At 38.2% G+C, this 19,024-nt stretch overlaps 2 annotated features.

Annotated features, from left to right (window-relative positions):
* Positions 5,719-6,366: an enhancer, noted in NCBI's record as "NANOG-H3K27ac-H3K4me1 hESC enhancer chr2:158371964-158372611 (GRCh37/hg19 assembly coordinates)". NCBI's record gives its function as "activates a minimal SCP1, AML or CMV promoter by ChIP-STARR-seq in naive H9 embryonic stem cells {active_cell/tissue: H9 hESC(naive)}" and the evidence as "EXISTENCE:reporter gene assay evidence [ECO:0000049][PMID:30033119]".
* Positions 6,367-7,015: an enhancer, noted in NCBI's record as "NANOG-H3K27ac-H3K4me1 hESC enhancer chr2:158371315-158371963 (GRCh37/hg19 assembly coordinates)". NCBI's record gives its function as "activates a minimal SCP1, AML or CMV promoter by ChIP-STARR-seq in naive H9 embryonic stem cells {active_cell/tissue: H9 hESC(naive)}" and the evidence as "EXISTENCE:reporter gene assay evidence [ECO:0000049][PMID:30033119]".

The following is a 19,024-nucleotide window of genomic DNA, read 5'->3' as shown; positions in this document are numbered from 1 at the left end:
ATCACCTTATTTTCCTCTTTAAAATATTTTTAAATCTTAATTTGAAACTGTCTGTTTATTTCCGAACAAAAATAGAATTTCATAGCAACTCAATTTCCTTCCTTTTCTCCTCCCTCAGCTAATCCCTCACCTCTTTCTCTAATATACCTGTCAACTAGAACTACTGGCAATGCTATAAACACTGCATGTGTATCTACAATTCTAGGATTTCATGTAACTATTTTTTCATCTTTCTGGAATTTCCCTGTCTCTGTCTAACTCACATGATTCACTTTTATTTCTCATCAGGCTCAGTTTAAACATGATCTTCTTTTGAATATTATTTCACTAATTCATTCTTGATGTAGGTACCTGTCTTAATCGGAGTTTTCTAGAAAGAGAGTCTGAGGAAGGGTCTAGGTGTTGATGGTTTACTTGGGAGGTGCAAAGCTAGTGCAACCAAAATGAGGACCTTCACTTTGATTATTTCCCTCAAACTCAGATGAATAATTGGGATAAATAAATAAGCATGTGTATATTTGAATCTTACATTGTTTTCTGTAAATCACAGCAAATCTATGAAAAACCTACAGTTATACCTAATGGTTAAAGACTATACTTTCCCCTAAGTCCAGAAATAAATTAATATTAATTTTCACAACTTCTTTTTTTTTATTATTATACTTTAAGTTTTAGGGTACATGTGCACATTGTGCAGGTTAGTTACATATGTAGACATGTGCCATGCTGGTGCGCTGCACCCACTAACTCATCATCTAGCATTAGGTATATCTCCCGATGCTATCCCTCCCCCCTCCCCCCACCCCACCACAGTCCCCAGAGTGTGATATTCCCCTTCCTGTGTCCATGTGATCTCATTGTTCAATTCCCACCTATGAGTGAGAATATGCGGTGTTTGGTTTTTTGTTCTTGCGATAGTTTACTGAGAATGATGATTTCCAATTTCATCCATGTCCCTACAAAGGACATGAACTCATCATTTTTTATGGCTGCATAGTATTCCATGGTGTATATGTGCCACATTTTCTTAATCCAGTCTATCATTGTTGGACATTTGGGTTGGTTCCAAGTCTTTGCTATTGTGAATAATGCCGCAATAAACACACGTGTGCATGTGTCTTTATAGCAGCATGATTTATAGTCCTTTGGGTATATACCCAGTAATGGGATGGCTGGGTCAAATGGTATTTCCAGTTCTAGATCCCTGAGGAATCGCCACACTGACTTCCACAATGGTTGAACTAGTTGACAGTCAGTCCCACCAACAGTGTAAAAGTGTTCCTATTTCTCCACATCCTCTCCAGCACCTGTTGTTTCCTGACTTTTTAATGATTGCCATTCTAACTGGTGTGAGATGGTATCTCATTGTGGTTTTGATTTGCATTTCTCTGATGGCCAGTGATGATGAGCATTTTTTCATGTGTTTTTTGGCTGCATAAATGTCTTCTTTTGAGAAGCGTCTGTTCATGTCCTTCGCCCAATTTTTGATGGGGTTGTTTGTTTTTTTCTTGTAAATTTGTTTGAGTTCATTGTAGATTCTGGATATTAGCCCTTTGTCAGATGAGTAGGTTGCAAAAATTTTCTCCCATTTTGTAGGTTGCCGGTTCACTCTGATGGTAGTTTCTTCTGCTGTGCAGAAGCTCTTTAGGTTAATTAGATCCCATTTGTCAATTTTGGCTTTTGTTGCCATTGCTTTTGGTGTTTTAGACATGAAGTCCTTGCCCATGCCTATGTCCTGAATGTAATGCTTAGGTTTTCTTCTAGGGTTTTTATGGTTTTAGGTCTAACGTTGAAGTCTTTAATCCATCTTGAATTAATTTTTGTATAAGGTGTAAGGAAGGGATCCAGTTTCAGCTTTCTACATATGGCTAGCCAGTTTTCCCAGCACCACTTATTAAATAGGGAATCCTTTCCCCATTGCTTGTTTTTCTCAGGTTTGTCAAAGATCAGATAGTTGTAGATATGCGGCGTTATTTCTGAGGGCTCTGTTCTGTTCCATTGATCTATATCTCTGTTTTGGTGCCAGTACCGTGCTGTTTTGGTTACTGTAGCCTTGTAGTATAGTTTGAAGTCAGGTAGTGTGATGCCTCCAGCTTTGTTCTTTTGGCTTAGGATTGACTTGGTGATGCGGGCTCTTTTTTGGTTCCATATGAACTTTAAAGTAGTTTTTTCCAATTCTGTGAAGAAAGTCATTGGTAGCTTGATGGGGATGGCATTGAATCTGTAAATTACCTTGGGCAGTATGGCCATTTTCACGATATTGATTCTTCCTACCCATGAGCATGGAATGTTCTTCCATTTGTTTGTATCCTCTTTGATTTCCTTGAGCAGCGGTTTGTAGTTCTCCTTGAAGAGGTCCTTCACATCCCTTGTAAGTTGGATTCCTAGGTATTTTATTCTCTTTGAAGCCATTGTGAATGGGAGTTCACTCATGATTTGGCTCTCTGTTTGTCTGTTGTTGGTGTATAAGAATGCTTGTGATTTTTGTACATTGATTTTGTATCCTGAGACTTTGCTGAAGTTGCTTATCAGCTTAAGGAGATTTTGGGCTGACACAATGGGGTTTTCTAGATATACAATCATGTCGTCTGCAAACAGGGACAATTTGACTTCCTCTTTTCCTAATTGAATACCCTTTATTTCCTTCTCCTGCCTAATGGCCCTGGCCAGAACTTCCAACACTATGTTGAATAGGAGTGGTGAGAGAGGGCATCCCTGTCTTGTGCCAGTTTTCAAAGGGAATGCTTCCAGTTTTTGCCCATTCAGTATGATATTGGCTGTGGGTTTGTCATAGGTAGCTCTTATTTTTTGAAATACATCCCATCAATACCTAATTTATTGAGAGTTTTTAGCATGAAGGGTTGTTGAATTTTGTCAAAGGCTTTTTCTGCATCTATTGAGATAATCATGTGGTTTTTGTCTTTGGCTCTGTTTATATGCTGGATTACATTTATTGATTTGTGTATATTGAACCAGCCTTGCATCCCAGGGATGAAGCCCACTTGATCATGGTGGATAAGCTTTTTGATGTGCTGCTGGATTCATTTTGCCAGTATTTTATTGAGGATTTTTGCATCAATGTTCATCAAGGATATTGGCCTAAAATTCTCTTTTTTTGTTGTGTCTCTGCCAGGCTTTGGTATCAGGATGATGCTGGCCTCATAAAATGAGTTAGGGAGGATTCCCTCTTTTTCTATTGATTGGAATAGTTTCAGAGGGAATGGTACCAGTTCCTCCTTGTACCTCTGGTAGAATTCAGCTGTGAATCCATCTGGTCCTGGACTCTTTTTGGTTGGTAAGCTATTGATTATTGCCACAATTTCAGCTCCTGTTATTGGTCTATTCAGAGATTCAACTTCTTCCTGGTTTAGTCTTGGGAGAGTGTATGTGTCGAGGAATGTATCCATTTCTTCTAGATTTTCTAGTTTATTTGCGTAGAGGTGTTTGCAGCATTCTCTGATGGTAGTTTGTATTTCTGTGGGATCAGTGGTGATATCCTCTTTATCATTTTTTATTGCGTCTATTTGATTCTTCTCTCTTTTTTTCTTTATTAGTCTTGCTAGCGGTCTATCAATTTTGTTGATCCTTTCAAAAAACCAGCTCCTGGATTCACTAATTTTTTGAAGGGTTTTTTGTGTCTCTATTTTCTTCAGTTCTGCTCTGATTTTCGTTATTTCTTGCCCTCTGCTAGCTTTTGAATGTGTTTGCTCTTGCTTTTCTAGTTCTTTTAATTGTGATGTTAGGGCGTCAATTTTGGATCTTTCCTGCTTTCTCTTGTGGGCATTTAGTGCTATAAATTTCCCTCTACATACTGTTTTAAATGCATCCCAGAGATTCTGGTATGTTGTATCTTTGTTCTCGTTGGTTTCAAAGAACATCTTTATTTCTGCCTTCATTTCGTTATGTACCCAGTAGTCATTCAGGAGCAGGTTGTTCAGTTTCCATGTAGTTGAGTGGTTTTGAGTGAGATTCTTAATCCTGAGTTCTAGTTTGATTGCACTGTGGTCTGAGAGATAGTTTGTTATAATTTCTGTTCTTTTACATTTGCTGAGGAGAGAATTTACTTCCCATTATGTGGTCAATTTTGGAATAGGTGTGGTGTGGTGCTGAAAAAAATGTATATTCTGTTGATTTGGGGTGGAGAGTTCTGTAGATGTCTATTAGGTCCGCTTGGTGCAGAGCTGAGTTCAATTCCTGGGTATCCTTGTTGACTTTCTGTCTCGTTGATCTGTCTAATGTTGACAGTGGGATGTTAAAGTCTCCCGTTATTAATGTGTGGGAGTCTAAGTCTCTGTAGGTCACTCAGGACTTGCTTTATGAATCTTGGTGCTCCTGTATTGGGTGCATATATATTTAGGATAGTTAGCTCTTCTTGCTGAATTGATCCCTTTACCATTATGTAATGGCCTTCTTTGTCTCTTTTGATCTTTGTTGGTTTAAAGTCTGTTTTATCAGAGACTAGGATTGCAACCCCTGTCTTTTTTTGTTTTCCATTGGCTTGGTAGATCTTCCTCCATCCTTTTATTTTGAGCCTATGTGTGTCTCTGCACATGAGATGGGTTTCCTGAATACAGCACACTGATGGGTCTTGACTCTTTATCCAATTTTCCAGTCTGTGTCTTAATTGGAGCATTTAGTCCATTTACATTTAAAGTTAATATTGTTATGTGTGAATTTGATCCTGTCATTATGATGTTAGCTGGTTATTTTGCTCATTAGTTGATGCAGTTTCTTCCTAGTCTCAATGGTCTTTACATTTTGGCATGATTTTGCAGCAGCTGGTACCGGTTGTTCCTTTCCATGTTTAGTGCTTCCTTCAGGAGCTCTTTTAGGGCAGGCCTGCTGGTGACAAAATCTCTCAGCATTTGCTTGTCTGTAAAGGATTTTATTTCTCCTTCACTTATGAAGCTTAGTTTGGCTGGATATGAAATTCTAGGTTGAAAATTCCTTTCTTTAAGAATGTTGAATATTGGCCCCCACTCTCTTCTGGCTTGTAGGGTTTCTGCCGAGAGATCCGCTGTTAGTCTGATGGGCTTCCCTTTGAGGGTAACCCGACCTTTCTCTCTGGCTGCCCTTAACATTTTTTCCTTCATTTCAGCTTTGGTGAATCTGACAATTATGTGTCTTGGAGTTGCTCTTCTCGAGGAGTATCTTTGTGGCGTTCTCTGTATTTCCTGAATCTGAACGTTGGCCTGCCTTGCTAGATTGGGGAAGTTCTCCTGGATAATATCCTGTAGAGTGTTTTCCAACTTGGTTCCATTCTCCCCATCACTTTCAGGTACACCAATCAGACGTAGATTTGGTCTTTTCACATAGTCCCATATTTCTTGGAGGCTTTGCTCATTTCTTTTTATTCTTTTTTCTCTAACCTTCCCTTCTCGCTTCATTTCATTCATTTCATCTTCCATTGCTGATACCCTTTCTTCCAGTTGATTGCATCGGCTCCTGAGGCTTCTGCATTCTTCACGTAGTTCTCAAGCCTTGGTTTTCAGCTCCATCAGCTCCTTTAAGCACTTCTTTGTATTGGTTATTCTAGTTATACATTCTTCTAAATTTTTTTCAAAGTTTTCAACTTCTTTGCCTTTGGTTTGAATGTCCTCCTGTAGCTCAGAGTAATTTGATCGTCTGAAGCCTTCTTCTCTCAGCTCGTCAAAATCATTCTCCATCCAGCTTTGTTCTGTTGCTGGTGAGGAACTGCGTTCCTTTGGAGGAGGAGAGGCGCTCTGCTTTTTAGAGTTTCCAGTTTTTCTGTTCTGTTTTTTCCCCATCTTTGTGGTTTTATCTACTTTTGGTCTTTGATGATGGTGATGTACAGATGGGTTTTTGGTGTGGATGCCCTTTCTGTTTGTTAGCTTTCCTTCTAACAGAGAGGACCCTCAGCTGCAGGTCTGTTGGAGTACCCTGCCGTGTGAGGTGTCAGTGTGCCCCTGCTGGGGGGTGCCTCCCAGTTAGGCTGCTCGGGGGTCAGGGGTCAGGGACCCACTTGAGGAGGCAGTCTGCCCGTTCTCAGATCTCCAGCTGCGTGCTGGGAGAACCACTGCTCTCCTCAAAGCTGTCAGACAGGGACATTTAAGTCTGCAGAGGTTACTGCTGTCTTTTTGTTTGTCTGTGCCCTGCCCCCAGAGGTGGAGCCTACAGAGGTAGGCAGGCCTCCTTGAGCTGTGGTGGGCTCCACCCAGTTCGAGCTTCCCGGCTGCTTTGTTTACCTAATCAAGCCTGGGCAATGGCGGGCGCCCCTCCCCCAGCCTCGCTGCCGCCTTGCAGTTTGATCTCAGACTGCTGTGCTAGCAATCAGCGAGACTCCCTGGGCGTAGGACCCTCTGAGCCAGGTGCCGGATATAATCTCGTGGTGCGCCGTTTTTTAAGCCCATCGGAAAAGCGCAGTATTCTGGTGGGAGTGACCCGATTTACCAGGTGCCGTCCGTCACCCCTTTCTTTGACTCAGAAAGGGAACTCCCTGACCCCTTGCGCTTCCCAAGTGAGGCAATGCCTCGCCCTGCTTCGGCTCGCGCACGGTGCGCGCACCCACTGACCTGCGCCCACTGTCTGGTACTCCCTAGTGAGATGAACCGGGTACCTCTGATGGAAATGCAGAAATCACCTGTCTTCTGCGTTGCTCACGCTGGGAGCTGTATACCGGAGCTGTTCCTATTCGGCCATCTTGGCTCCTCCCCTAATTTTCACCACTTCTATGCAACTTTGTGTTGGAGATCTAATTTGTGAAATAAGGTAAGAGAAAGAAAGAAAAGAAATGCAGATTGGGGCTGGGTGTGATGGCTCATGCCTGTAATCCCAGAACTTTGGGAGGCCAACGCATGAGGATCACTTGAGGTCAGGAGTTAGAGACCAACTTGGGCACTATAGTGAGACCCTGTCTCTATAAACAATGTTGACAAAATAGCCAGGCATGGTGGCATGCACCTGTAGTCCCAGCTACTTGGGAGGCTGAGGTGGGAGGCTCACTTGAGCCCATGAGTTCAAGGCCACAGTGAGCTATAATCACATCACTGCACTCTAGCCTAGGCAACAGAGTGAGATCCTGTTTCTAAAAAAGAAAAAAAAAAGAAATAGAGATTGAAAAATAAGAAGTAAATGAGGTCAGGTGACATAATTGTGTATATTAAAAAATCCTAATGAATCTAATAAAAAGCTACTAGAATTAATACTTTAATTCAGTGAGGCCACAAGATATAAGATTGATATGAAAAATCAATTTAATATGAATGGAATTATACAGTATGTACTCTTGTTAAGTACATGCATTGCAAATATTTTCTTGCAGTTGGTAATTTGCCTTTTAGTAAGAGCAGAAATGTTATTTTATTTATTTTTATTTTATTATCTTTTTATTTCCATAGGTTTTTGCAGAGCAGGTGGTATTTGGTTACATGAGTAAGTTCTTTAGTGGTGATTTGTGAGATTTTGGTGCATCCATCACCCAAGCAGTATACATTGTACCCCAATTTGTAGTCTTTTATCCCTCACTCCCCAGCAGAAATTTTAAAATTTGATGAAGACCAATTTATTAATTTTTTTCTTTGTGGTTTTGTTTTGTTTTGTGCTCTATCCAAAAATCTTTGTCTACTTCAAAAATATGAAGAATCCTAGCCCATGTTTTTTTCTAGAAGTTTTACAGTTTTAGCTTTAACTTTTTATCCCTGATACATTTTGATTTAAGTTTTGTATATGGTGTGAGACAGAGGTCACATCCATATGGATGTCTCATTGCTCCGGTATCTGTTGTTGAAAAAAAATTCATATTTAAATATATTGGCACTTTTATCAAAGTTCGATTTGTCATGTGTTTGTTTCTATATTTCCTATCTGTTTCTTTTATCTGTATGTCTTTGCTGTGTCAGTTGCACACTGGATTATCCTCACTTTATAGTAAGTCTTGAAATGATGCAGTATAAGTCCTCCAACTTTGTTGTTCTATTTTGAAATTGTTTTGTGCTATCCTAAGTCTGTTAACTTCCATATAAATTTTGGAACCAGATTGTCATTTTTGACACACAAAAAAAAAACCCTGAGAGATTTTTATTGGGATTGCATTGATGTCATAGATCAATTTGGAGAGAATGATTTCCTTAAAAAATATTGAGTCTTCCAATCCATAAACATTTTATATTTCTCCATTTGTTTATATCTTCTTTAATTTATTTAAACAATATTTTGAAGGTTTTCTCCCCATCTATTTGTATTGCACTTATTTTGTTTAATTTCTCCCTGAGTATTGCCTGCTTTTAAGATAATATTGTTAAAGGTGTTTTTAAAATTTTCATTTTTCAATTTTTCCACTGTGGTAATGTTTGGAAATACAATTGATGTTACAAGATCAGTTCCCCCAGGGCTTAGGCTTCACCTTAACAACTTTCGTTTATCCACAATACTGGGAACTGTGGCTTAGACATACAAAGCAATTGGTAAATATATGTTTAATTTAATGAATTTATGCTTGAGGATTATTTTAGCTCAAAGTCTAAGTTCAATCAGTGAAGCATTAAAGTTTTAGTCCCCAGAAAAATAGAGATGCCATATATTCTTTGTAAACTTTAAAAATCTTGTGGCCGGGCGTGGTGGCTCACGCCTATAATCCCAGCACTTTGGGAGGCTGAGGCAGGCGGATCACTTGAGGTCAGAGGTTTGAGACCAGCCTGGTTAACATGGTGAATTCCAGTCTCTACTAAAAATAGAAAAATTAGCCTTCTACTTGTCAAAAAGGCACGAGTAATTTCTGCATGTATGGATTCTGCTGCATATATATTTTGACTAATAAGCCCCTGGAAAAAAAAGGGACACCTTCTCAGAAGTTGGCAGTGTTTTTCCTTTGCCTGATAGCATGTTATAGTGGACCTGGCTACTAGAGTCAATCTTCTGAGTCGAAAACTAGTTCTCTTACTTACTGATAGTTTTGTCCTGAGTTGTTCAGAATCTGAATGGTTTCTATCCTTTTCAATTTATTGAGTTGTTCTATGGTCCAGAATATGGCTTGTGTTGGTGTGTGTTCTGTGAGCACTCAAAAAGAATATGTATTTGTAGTTTTGTGTATAGTATTCTGTAAATATAAAGTCAAGTTGTTTGACAGCGTTGTTCAAATATTTTTATCCTGATTTCTAATTATTCTACCAATTATTGAAAGAAAGGTGTTGATATTCCCAACTATAATTATAGATTTGCTGATTTCTTCTTGCACTTTATCAGTTTTTATTTCTGGTATTTTGAAACTGTTTTTAGGTGCGTATGTATGCACACCTAGATTATTATGCCTTGTTGATGAATGAATTCCCTTATTATTATGAACTATCCCATTTTATGTTGGATAATATTCCTTGATCTGAAGCTACTTTATCTGATATTAATATAGCCACTGAAGCTTTGTTATGATTAGTATTTGCATGGTATATATTTTTCCATACTTTAATATATATGGGTCTTATATTTATAGTAGATTTCTTGTAGATCGTGTACAGTTGGGTCTTACATTTTTCTCTAGTCTGACAACTTTTCACTTTTAAAAATTAGCGTGTGCAAGGAACAGAAAACCACACACCGCATGTTCTCATTCAGAAGCAAGAGTTGAACAATGAGAACACATGGACACAGGGAGGGGAACGACACACACCGGCGCCTGTCATGGCTTGCGGGGCGAGGGCAGGGAGAGCATCAGGACAAATAGCTAATGCATGCGGGACTTAAAACCTAGATGATGGGTTGATAGGTACAGCAAACCACCATGGCACATGTATACCTATGTAACAAACCTGCACATTCTGCACATGTATCCCTGAAACTTAAAGAAAAATAAAAAAAAATTGGAGTGTACAGACCATTTATAGTTAACATAATTATCAACATAATTAATTTTAATTTTATTACCTTACTATTTTTTCCACTTTGCTCATCTCCTTTTTTTTTTACTTTTTCTTGTTTTTGATTAGTTCATTATTTTTAATATTCCAATTTATTTTCTCTATGACTTATTAGTGATTTTGCTTTTTTTTAGGGTGTGTTTTATGATTTACAATATACATTTTTAACTTATCATAATCTACCTTCAAAAACTGTTATGCCACATTACATATAATAACAATCTTACAAAGTATTTTTAGTTTTCTCCCTCCTGTCCTTTTTATTTTGGTTGTCATACATTTTATTTCTGTATCTATTTAAATTTCACAATGTAGCGATGTAATTTTTTGCTTTAAACAGTCCATTTTAAATAAATTACATTGAAAATATTTTTAATATGAACATTTTTTTCTCATATTTACTATAGCTGATGCTTGTAACTTCTTTGTATAGATCTGAGTTTGGACTGATATTACTTTTTTCAGTCAGAAGATTATTTTTAATATTCCTTATAGAGCATGAAATTCTCTCAGCTTTTTTTAGTTTAAAAATACCTTCATTTTTGAAGGATATTTTCAGTGGACATAGAATTCTAAGCAGTTTTGGGGATTTTCTGGCTTATTTTTGTCAGCACATTAAATACATTGTTTTATCTTCTAATTTGCATTGTTTCTGACAAGGTCAGGAGTAATTCTCTTTCTCTGTTTGTATTGTAACTTTTTTTTTTTTTGCCATCTTAAGATTTTTTTTTTTTCTGAAAAACCATCTTAAGATGGGTTTTCAGAAATGTTATTATAATGGGCTTAGGTGTGCTTTTTGTTTGTTTTTATCCTACTTTTGTTCCACTGAACTTCTTGGATTTGTGTGTTTATGGTTTTCATTAAATCTGCAAAATTTCTGTGCACCACTATGTCTTCAGAGTTGTTTTTCTATTCCATGCACTATTTCCTCTATTCTAGGGTGCTTCAAATACATGTATATCAGACAACTTGATATTGTTCCATAGGTAACTGAGGTTCTCATTTTTCTGCAGCTTCTTTTTTTCTCTGTACTTCAATTTGATTCATTTCTATTGCTTATTTATTAAAGTTTATTACTCCTTTATTTTGCATTTTAAAATCTCCTAATATACCCTTCCAGTGAAGTTTTCATTTTGGATACTGTATTTCTTAGCCCTAGAAGTATCACTTGTCTCTTTTATATAGCTTCCATTTGTTTACTATTTCTATATTTGCTTTAGTGCTTGACCATATTTATAATAGCTATTTTCAAATCTTTGTCTTTCTCTGAGTCTGTTTTTTTAAAACTGCCCTTTCATTTATGAATTATATTTTTTCTCTTTGCATACCCAGTAATTTATTATTAGACACTGGACATTGTAAAGGTTACATTATTGAGTATCTGGATCTTATTGCCATCCTTTCAGGAGAGTTGAAGTTTGATTTGGAAGGCATCTAAGAGCACTGAAGAATAGTTTGCTCCTTTTAAGTGTTGTTTTTAAGTTTTGTAAGGGAAGGTCTAGAGTAGCTTTAACGCTAGGACTAGTTTAATCTTACTACAAAGGTGTAATCCTCCTGGATTTCAACTGAATGCCCCAGGTTTCAGTAAATTCTCTACATTCTTCTTGGTCAGTACACAGACATCTCCCAAACTCTGTGTGAACTCTGGGGATTGTTCTTTTTACTGCTTCTCAAAAATTGTTCTTTGCTTTGTTTCATGAAGGTTCTCCTAAGTAGGTACTACGTAGCATTTAGAAAAAGACTCAAGGGTACCTCACTGCAGAGTTTCAAAGTTGCTTCCTTGTGAAGCTCCCTCTGGTTCTGCAAATACCAGTTATCTTAGACTTGTCAAACTTCAATATCTGTCTCCTTCACTTAGCAAGACTGCCATGTGATAGCTTAGCTTGGTTCAGCCTTTCTCCTCACAATCTTTCAAGAAGTGCCTCTAGGAAAAGAAAGACCCTGGGCAATAGTGGGGCTCGGTGTTTCCCTTATTTTAGGGATTATAATCCTATGCTGCCACCTGTTGTTAAATGCCTGAGTTTTATTTTATATGTGTATATATATAGTTATATATATATATTTCACACGTATTTCACACATATATTTCACACATATGTTATACATATATATATGTTTCATTCATATGTATATATCTTTTTTTTCTCCTGATTTTTAGCTGTTTATGGCAGGAGGGCAATTTTAGTACCAGATAGCCTGTCATGGATGGAAGCAGAAGTCCCTGTTTTAATTTGTAAGATTTTTAATGTGTTATATTTTGTTTATTCAATTACTGATTTAAAAGCTTATTTATTCTATGGACTAGGTCTTTTGAGACTGAATCAAGTCAAGTGCAACAGAGTAATAAATGCCTAAAATAAAATTTTGGACATGACCAATTTATTAAAATGTGTTCATATGACAGAGACAGACAGAGAAAGAGCATGAGAGGGAGAGAGATTAAAAGAGTTTCACAATCATTTATTCATATTGAGGGAACCCCTCAACATATAGTTCAAGGTGCTGAATGATAACAACTTTTCAGGGATGGACTACTTGTAAGCCGTTCATACGTCTACACAATTACCCCTGCAATGATCAATCTCACTGTAGGAATGGTTGGAATATAATATTTTTTATAGTGCCTATGTTCCTTGTATGTTTAAGGTTAGTTATCTAGGAAATTTGCAGTTTTTACAGATTATCATAGATTTTTATTCAGAATGAATGTAGGTAGTTATATATACTTTCAACATTTCTATTTTCTTTCTGATAGTTACATTTTCCCTCCCTCTGGCATGTTAGGGGCTGGAGGGGCAGATGCTTGATATGCCCCCAATGTGACACTGTGCCTCCTTTTCTTACTCCCACTTTTTCTTCTTTTTCTTTCCAGTTTTGTGTATTCTTCCATTTTCCAGTCTTGGTTACTCAAGAAGCAGTAGATAATGAGGACAGTAGTGCTTAGGGCTGGTTTAGAAGAGGAAGAGTTTTGCTTCATTACTTCCTCCTTCACATGGCTCGGTCACCTCTGAATTATGACTCATATAAATGTAGCATAAAGCTACATTCAGGCTCTTTTGAGGCTTCATGAAAGCAGAGCTTGTATATTGAAATTTGAGAAAGAACCACTCTTAGGGGCAGATCGACGCAATCACCAGTGGCTTTTAGTTCCATCATAATGTAGCTTCTTTCATGCCCACTCTAATGAAATAGGAATGCTGCATTACTGCAAACTGATTTCTGTTTCAGTTGAGAGAGCTTATTTAAGGGCAAGATGGAACAAAGAGAGAATGTGTGTTTGCTTAAGTATATGCAATTTGTATCTATTGGATTAGAAAAAAAATTTTAATTTAACCTTTTTTGTATTGATGTGACTTTTTTTCACCTGCTAATTTTTCTGAAGGAAACATCTGTAAAGTTGACCTTCAGCATTACAGAAAATAGGTCACTTTCCTAAAATATATTTTAAAAATACTCTTCTCAATGATACAGACCATAGAAATATCTATTTTTTCCTGGTCACTGATATTTTAAGAACTTGATGGGTTTGATCAACATTGAAAAAAAGTATACATACATTTACACTCATGAGATTTTACCTTCAATCTAAGATGTCTTTAAAGACCATCCATATACTTCATGTTAAGGCAATACTTTGGATTAAGGTGGAAGAGGAATGTATATTTTACTTGAGGCAGGGAACTGACATGTGGTAAGTATCTTTTTTTTTTTTTTTTTTTTTTTAACGAGGTGAGTCTTGCTATGTCACACAGGCTAGTCTCAGGTGAGTCTTGCTGTGTCACACAGGCTGGACTCAAACTCCTAGGATCAAGGGATCTGCAACCGTGCCCAGTTGAGCATCTCTTTCTTAATGTACATTATTTCATTTAACCTTTTTTGACATGGATTGTTTTATCCAAAAATGGCAGAAACAATATTTTTAGTCTCACGTGCTCTTCTAAAATACTACCACCTGAACTTATGGGTCCTGTGTTACTGTCTCAATAAAAAGAATGCTTCAGAAGTGCCATACATGACTTTAAAATATATAAATCTAAGGGGTACAAGTGCAGTTTTGTTACATGGATTTATTGTTTAGTGGTGAAGTCTGGGCTGTTAGTGTAACCGTCACCCAAATAATGTACATTGTACCCATTTAGTTATTTCTTATCCCTCACCCCTGCCTTTACCCTCCCACCCTTCTGAGTCTCCAGTGTCTATTATTCCACACTCTATGTCCATATACATGACTACTGAGGCTAATTCATAAAAGGCAGTACTTCTTCCTGGCTCACTACTTCTCTCACGTTCTTGGAAACCTGCCACCCATGTTGTTTGGAAGCCCAGGACACATAGACTTTATATGTAGGTGTTCTGGCCAACAGCCCCAGTAAGATCTCAGCCAACATCCAGTATCGACCATTAGACATGAGTGTGAACAAGCCTTCAGAGGATTTCAGGTCATAGCCTACAAGTTATCCACAGATATTAAGTCTACCCACTGAGGTCTCAAATATCATGGAGCAGAGACAAAATGTGAATTTAGCCTTCAGTTTTTGAAGTGCCCCTGCTAAGGCTGAGTTGAGCAGAGATGAGCAATCCACACAGAATACTCCTCAAATTGCAGGTTTCTGAGCAAAATAAGTGTCATGCTTTCAATTCATTAAGTTTTAGGGTGATTTTATTGGCAGCAGTAGATAGCTGGATCACATTTGGTTCCAGGAATTGAAGCGTAGCTAAAACTAAACCTAATACATGTGGCAATAGCTTTAGGGTCAGAGGCAGGTGGAAATGGGAAATGTCTTTAGGGGAGTGTTACTGAAAACTTAAAAGAGATCAAGGAAGCTATCAGAGGAAGCCTGGTGACCTTGAAAAGGCTGTTGGTGAGAACTTGAAGAAAAGAGAGGAAAATGTTTTTGGAAGCTGGAGGAAAGGGGACTCATGTAGTGGCAGAAAGCTTAGCAATAATGTCTCCTGCAGTAAAATGGAAAATAGGAAATATACCTATATTCTAGCTAAAGAGTTTTGCAGAAAGAGGGTTGAAAGTGCTTTGCCTTCTGTCTGCTTCCTAGCTGCCTGTAGTAAAATGCAAGGAAGAGAGATGAGCTAAAGAAAGCACTGTTATATATAAAGTCTCCAGGACTTGCTAGGTTGGAAAAGAAAACTGTTTCTCATTCCCAGCCTCTCCAGATGGCAAATGATGCTAAAATTAAGATGTGGCTTCTGAGCAGAGATCAAATCCAGGGTGCTGTCAGGAAAACATGGTCTAAAGATAAAACCTTTTGTTAAGGCCTCATAAAGTTTTGAGATAGTGTATTTTAGACCATTTTGAACAGAAAAAAGCCCACTAATGACCTTAAGGGGTGTTTCACAGACTACTTCCATATAACAATAGCGTTTCTCAAAATCTTAAGGGAAGCATTCTTAAAAAGAGCCAAAGTTAGAAAAAGTCTTATCTCTGTGGGATTTGGGCATGTGGCTTTTGTCTAATGGAGTGGATTATAAATTGATTCATAAGAAATCCACAAAGTGTTTAAAGGAATTTTAGCATCTAGTATTGAAAAGGATGGAGACAGAACAAAATTAAAAGAGGATTTTAACTCCTAAATTTCCATGAGCAGGAAGCAGACCAAGAAAACTTTAACTACAAAGACAACTTACATTTTATGAAATGGGAAAGATAAGTCAGTGGGTCAAACAGCTCAAAAGGCAGAGTAAAGAGTTATGGAGAATTCCTAGGTAGCAGGACTGATTCCTAATGAAGGAAATGGAAATATGTACATGGCTATATGTCAGAATGATTCAGTACCCGCTGTATTTCATCTGTTTTCTCCTTATTGAATGTGAATACTCTTAATGGTTTTCTTCAATCTATCACATTGCATGTCAGGTGTGTGTGGAGTAGATGAATCATCTTTTAGTTCACAGATCTCCATTTCAAGAGGAATGACATTCAAAGGGCTAAACTTAAGGAATCACATTCAAGGAACTTCATCTGATTTAGATGACAGGATCCTGAACCTCAAGCTTGATGGGCTTGGGGAAAGGGTTAAGTGTATTTGCATGTGGAAGAGATGTGAATTGTTGTCTCCTGAAAGTGGATAGTGGCAGATTTTAATTTCCAATAAAGACCTCCACAATACTTTTGATCTCAATGCTCTTACAGAACCTTGCCACTCCCCCTTTAATGGATACATGTCCCACCCCCTGAATCCTGGGTAGGTCTTTGTGACTATTTCAAAGAATATAATGCTGCAAAAGTGATGCTGTGTGACTCCTGAGGCTAAATCATAAAAATAAATAGAGCTGCCACCTAACTGCTCTTTGTCTTGGAATGCTTGCCTTTGAAATCTGGGCCCCATGTTGTGAGGAAGCCCAAGCTACAGGGAGAGGCCAAGTGTAAATGTTCTGGTTGTCAGTACCAGCTAAGATCTCAAACAACAGCTGGAATCAATTGCCTGGCTTCTGAGTAACTGAGACTTCAGATGATGCTTGTTCTCAGCCTTCAAGCTGCCCCAGACACTGAGTGGAGCAGAGATAAGTTATCTTTAACATACCTGATCACATTACAAAATTATGAGTGAAATACATATCATTTCTAAGTTATTACAATGTGAGGTGATTTTTTTTTTATGCAGGAGCAGATAATCCACCAAGAATACTGTAAGTTACGTACAATCATCTATGTTACAAAATGGAAATATGCTAACAGCTACATAGCATGTAAGTGGCAGTGCTGAGCTGTGAACCCGTGTGTTGGAATCCAAAGTTTGAGTTCTTTCTAATTTTTGACCCACTCCTGTAAAAGGGCATAGGTTGACTAGAAAGACATTGAGTTGAACTAGAAAGTCCATTCAGCTCTAGCCCAGGATGATTGAACCCAGTAGAATGAAAATGAGATTTGTAACCTGCAAGTGTAGAGGCTATCCTTGAAAGCAAGGCATGTTTTGTGGTAAAAAGTTTTTATGGTCAAATTTTGCCCTTATATCTACAAGACTTAGTGGGACTTTGATCAAGCTATATAATTTCTCTGTGTGCAAGTTTCCTCAATTGTGAAATGAGGATATAATATCTAACTTGCAAGTTGTAAGGATTATAATTTTGTATGCAAATAAGGGAAACTCTTATGTCTGAATATCTTAAAGTAGTCATCTAAAAGTCACGCTGGAATATGAGTGGCACACACCCATTGCTCTCTGACTTCTGAACAAAAATGTCTACACTGAGCTTGGCCACTGCCCTTTTCCCTTTTGAAATCTTGCTGCCACCTGCCGTTTCTTCCGTACCTTCAGATACTCACTGCCCCATGGGTCTTTGGCTGTCAGGGGTCCGGCTGCCTCTTCCATTACTCCTCTATAAAGCTCTTCAAATCTCCTGCCCCTGCCACAGGCTTTTCTGCCTTGAAATTTAGCTAATCTTGATTATTTGTTTAATGACATTCAGGTGCAAATGAAGCATAACCCTATAAGACCTTTACACTTTAAAAGAACAGCTCATTAACTACTTTGAATCTCTAATTGATAGAATTAGTGGGAGAGACAATTTTGTTCCCAGAGTTCTTTGCCTACTCTCCCTCTCTCCTCCCACAATAAGCAAAAAATACTCCTGAAAGTTACTTTGTAACCTCTCTGTACCCCTTTTGGGAAACAGTCTGTACTCTGACAGGACCTAATGGAAATGAATTTGTTGCCTGTGGGAGAACTGAGGTGGGCAGCAAACATAAATGAACTTTATTTTAAAATTGCAACAATTTTTTTTTCTACCTCTTGTCCTTCTCAAATGGTGGATGGTGGTGTTGGTGGAGAGGCTACCATTTATTGGCTATCTTGACAAGTACTTGATGCAATTCCCATTTAATGCCATTGTCTATGTATTTACTTTTTGGATTAGCCTGATTTGATCTTTTAAAAAATGTATTCATTATTGGTGACTATTTGAATTCTCTCTGGAGGGAAAGGAGAGAGAAAAGGATAATTATGCTGTTCCTTTGACTATGGCAGAGTGACTTCCATCCAGTTTGTTTAACACAGAAGCACAAAACATTTCTGTACACTGTGCAGTGGTAGGTCATGAGGCAGAAACGGCGTAGAACAAAGTATATCACTGGAAGGTCTTTTGAAAAGGTGTTTGTTTCACTCTTTAAAAAATACACAGAGATTTTCACAGTTCAGGATAAGGAGTGATATGAAGAAAGAGAACAGAGGTGGATAGAGTTTGTGTTATATCACTTTTTTTATACATTAATACTGTCCCCTAAATACATGAGGTAAAACTTAAAATGCATTATAACCTGGGCTGGGTGCAGTGGCCCACACCTGTAATCCCAGCACTTTGGAAGGCCGAGGTGGGCAGATCACTTGAGGCCAGGAGTTCAAGAACAGCCTAGCCAACATGGTGAAACCCTGTCTCTACTAAATAAATTCAAAAATGAGCTGGGTGTGTCGGTGTGTGCCTGTAATTCCAGTTAATCGGGAGGCTGAGGCACGAGAATCTCTTGAACCCAGGAAGCAGAGGTTGCAGTGAGCCAAGATCATACCACTGCACTTTAGCCTGGGTGACACAGCGAGACTCTGTCTCCAAAAAAAAAAAAAAAGTATTATAACCTGATAAAGATATAAACACATTTTGTACTAAACAATGTTAACAGCCCCCATCCGAATCTCTGGCTCCATTTCCAGTCAATACAGAGTTGTCCAATTTATTACATTCTCTGTGGATTTATTACACTGAATTTTCATTTTGTTCTAATGTTCTATCTTACAATAATTAAACGTAAGATTTTATCATAGTAACCTCCCATTTTCTGGTTCCCTTTGACCACTGAGCCCTCTGTCCAGGAGTCATGTCGTCATTAATGTCACCGTGTGGTATCAGTACCTCCCTAGTCTCAAACTTTTCACCATGTCCGGCTATGTATCAGAAGTTTCTGGGCAGCTTGAAAATTTCTAAGGCCCAGCTGGACGCAGTGGCTCACGCCTGTAATCCCAGCACTTTGGGAGGCCGAGGTGGGAGGATCATGAGGTCAGGAGATTGAGACCTTCCTGGCTAACACGGTGAAACCCCGTTTCTACTAAAAAATAGAAAAAATTAGCCGGGCGTGGTGGCAGGCGCCTGTAGTCCCAGCTACTCGGGGAGGCTGAGGCAGGAGAATGGCGTGAACCCGGGAGGCGGAGCTT

This window comes from Homo sapiens, chromosome 2, assembly GCF_000001405.40.
Source record: "Homo sapiens chromosome 2, GRCh38.p14 Primary Assembly".
Lineage (NCBI taxonomy): Eukaryota > Metazoa > Chordata > Mammalia > Primates > Hominidae > Homo > Homo sapiens.
Note: the sequence above shows the minus strand (reverse complement) of the source record. Positions and strands in the feature narration are given on the sequence as shown.